This window comes from Homo sapiens, chromosome 1, assembly GCF_000001405.40.
Source record: "Homo sapiens chromosome 1, GRCh38.p14 Primary Assembly".
NCBI classification, from domain to species: Eukaryota; Metazoa; Chordata; class Mammalia; order Primates; family Hominidae; genus Homo; species Homo sapiens.
Genome location: NC_000001.11, coordinates 172,637,600 through 172,641,158, shown reverse-complemented (window position 1 = coordinate 172,641,158; position 3,559 = coordinate 172,637,600). Strand labels below are relative to the sequence as shown.

At 44.3% G+C, this 3,559-nt stretch overlaps 1 annotated feature.

Annotated features, from left to right (window-relative positions):
- Positions 1,423 to 2,622: an enhancer, noted in NCBI's record as "CDK7 strongly-dependent group 2 enhancer chr1:172607677-172608876 (GRCh37/hg19 assembly coordinates)". NCBI's record gives its function as "activates an origin of replication core promoter dependent on BRD2, BRD4, P300/CBP, MED14 and CDK7 cofactors, with strong dependence on CDK7, by STARR-seq in HCT116 cells {active_cell/tissue: HCT116}" and the evidence as "EXISTENCE:reporter gene assay evidence [ECO:0000049][PMID:35650434]".

Sequence of the window (3,559 nt, the reverse complement as noted above, 5' to 3'; positions counted from 1 at the left end):
AGAGCAGAGCTTACCAGGAGACAAGAGCTCATCCCGGGCTGACCTCTAGTTCCCCACCCACCTAACATTCCACTGAGTTTCAGTGTGAGAATATGAAACTGCTTTTGTTGAGGTTTCACCTCCTCCGACTCCCACAATTCTTTCCAGGTCCCCAGAATATAATTTTTCAATTAGAGGTACCCCTAAATGCCTGAAATTAGAGTTCATCACCACTACATATTCTCTCTTGCTAAAACCCAAGTTTCCATCATGTATGATGGACATCCCGATCTCAAAGTCCTTCTTTCCCTGCCTTCATCCAGCACAAACAGGGCAGACTTCAGTCCTTTCACAAAGACACAGCATTAAGCCTTCATGACTTACTAGAAATCCTACTTTTTGAGTAGAAGCCTTCATTTCTTATTGTCTTTCCTGGGTGATTTTCTGCTAATCTTCAGTCCCTCTTCCCTCCCTGGAGTTTGGGGGAAGGTCAGTGGTGTAAATTATAGACTGATAAGCCCCTGCAAAGCCAGGCAACCTAATCAACCACTCCACCAATACTTCCTGAGCACCTGGCACCAGGTACCATTGTGGGGATATAATGAAATGGAAAATATTCCATGTCCTCAAGGATGTTACACAGCTACCAGGGGTGGAAAGATTGTCTGTAGCTCTCAGACGGTAAAGTAGCTATAAAGTTCATGGGAAGTCTAAGCATAACACGTTTCTGAAGCTCATGCCACGCCATGTGCTCTACCGCCATGACCCAATCTGTTTGAAATGTTTAGGCAGTCTGCCTGGAAATCCTGCTAGCATGTGGCCAGTGCAGGTCATCAAGTCACCAGGAGCGGGCAAGGGAATGGTGCAAGGCTAAGAGCTCTTTGGTTCTACCGTGGCTTATTGAGTTCCTGTGGCATAAAGCTCTACACTAACTGCTTCAGGGAGGCAAAGAGGAACAAGTCAGTCTAGGAACCCTGATTGTCCACGGTCAGAAAAACAGCACTGAAGCTGAGAAGTTCTTATGTAACAGTAACTACATTAAAAAGAGAAAGTGCGAGAAACACTTTAAGAAGACTCCAAATTAGTACTGTGTTAAAGAAGAGAGATGGCATATTTAGACTGGAGAAGGAGGAAAGAACAGAGTTGGGAACTGAAGAAATATTTCATGGGGAAGGCTGAATTTGACATGGGGCTTAAAGAATTATTATCTCCATTTATTTTAGCTTTATTTTTAAACAAATAACAACAACAAAACCTTTGGGCACATTTTATTGGAAGCATCATATGAAGAAAATTACCAATTAAAGAGAAATGGTCAATCTGGTAAGTGACCTGAATCCTCGTTGCTAAGTTTGCTCAGAACCCTCTGGGCATTCCTGCCAGCCTGGCTTAGTCTGCTCATGGAGCTGCAACCACAACAGACCATCCTGTTCCTCAACCAGCCCTCCCTTAAAAGGCAAGGCACACACATGCTATGCCCTTGGGTGGATATTTATCCACAGCCAACCTTCCAGGGCACAAGCTTCACAGGCAGTCACCTGCCGCCCAAGGCTGCTCCTCTCCTCATGCAGGATTCTACCCTGGTTACTTTCCTTTGGAGAGGCTCTGACATAACGAGAATCAGGGTTTCCAGAGATGAGACAGATCAGAGACTGATCTGCCCACAGCACTCTGCGGTCTGGGCTCGAGAGCTCAAGCGTTCCAGAATGCAGTGGAACATGTGTGTACTCCACCAAGCAACAGAAATTCAGCCGTCATCTTGTTCCATAGGGCAGCAACATGCAGGGCAGAGGGAGAACCACTCCTGGGTCTTCTAGAAAACCAAGCCAGCCTCAGTCACACTCACAGGGGATCTCAGAATGTTAGACAAAGGAGGCTTCACACACCGGAAGCCCAGGCAGCAGAAGCCAGACACAACCACAGCACACAGAAAGTCAAAGATACTGGGTAGATATAGAGCAGTGCCAGGAGTAGATTTTAGTGTTTGATTTTTGTCGATTATAAGTGTGCATCCTGTTTATCTGCCTAGTGAAATGCATAGAGATAAGTCCCAGCCTGTAGATATAAAGGACGTGTTTCATCTTTTTTCATGCATGAGTGTGTGTATGAATATGCAAACAGAATGAGTGTATTGATGTCTCACAACCAGGTAAAGTTGCATTCCTGTGACTCACTGAAAATGTAAGACATTTCACACTCATGAATAACCAGCCCCCAAACCACAGGACACAAACCATGTCCTTTTACTTGGTTTTCAAATAACCTCATGCATAGTTTTGTGCTTTGAGAGCAGAGGAAAGAAACTTTCTTATTGGAAAAGGAAAAGAAAAACAGAGGACAGGAGAATTCTTCTCCCACCAAGCAGCTCCTTCCTTGAAGATCTTTCCAAAGAGACTGTTCATTTAGTCAACAAAGATCCGTGGAAAATTTAAGAATATGCAGAAACCCTCAATTTACTCACTATCTAGTGGGGGATATGGAAAAGTAACTATAAACTTTAAAAAACAGTTATAACCGTATGGTAAGAGTAGACACAAGTACCTTACAAGCAAGGAGGGCGGTCATCAATTTCACACTTGCAGGATCACAGGTGTCAGAGGTTGTAACCCTCAAGCTAGGCCCCCAAGTGATACAATAGGTAGAAGGCAGTTAAGCTGAAAGGAAAAAGAGTCATTCAAGGCAGACAAGAGAGCATGAAAAGAGAGCAAGATATGTTGTGCAACCTGCCAGCTAGGGTTCACCTGGCTTTATTTTTCTCTATGGTACTTAGTGCCATCTGATATTTTACACAATTCTTTGTTTATTGTCTGTCTCCAACTACAATGTAAGCCCCCTGAGGGCAGGGACTTTGTTTTACTCTCTGCTACATCCCCAGAACGTAGAATAGACTTGGTACAAGGAGGCATTAATAAATACTTGCTGAATGCACAAATGTTAGAGAGGAGTGAGAAATGAGGCTGGACTGCCAGGCAAGGTAGCCCCCGCAGGTCATGAGGGCCTTGTGTGCTGTGCTAATGCGTGTGGATGTTACCTTGGAGATCTAGAATAGTGTTCACAAGCTAGCAGCCCACAAGCTAAACACAGAAGTGTTTTGCTTGACCAATAACAGGTTTTTCATATTAAGATATTTTGTATAAAAACCCAGGTTGCCGAATTTCCTTTAAAAATTCAGAGGATGCAGTAACAAGGGGCCTGTAGTCTCGTAAGGCAAAGTCGGCTGGTGCTGAGCAGTAAGTGCCCCTTTAATAACACCTGTGTTCTTCAGTCCAGCACAGTCTGCCCCAGTCCCAATTGTCTTGCTTCAGGCCTTCCTTGCTCATAATCATCTGCCAGTTCCATGTAGATAAATGAGTTTGCAACCTCTAGCCTAGGTTCAGAATGTCTAGTTTAAAAATTCCACCAAGATAATGAGTCTCCAAAACACCCCCCTACAATGAGTCATGCCTTCCAGTGTATTTATGCCCTCCCACAGTGAATGTGAGCTGCTTCTGTGTAACTAATAGAATGCAAGGGAAGTGACGCTGTGGGGCTTCCAAGGATAGCTCATGAGAAGGCAGACATCGCACAAGAAGTCTGACTA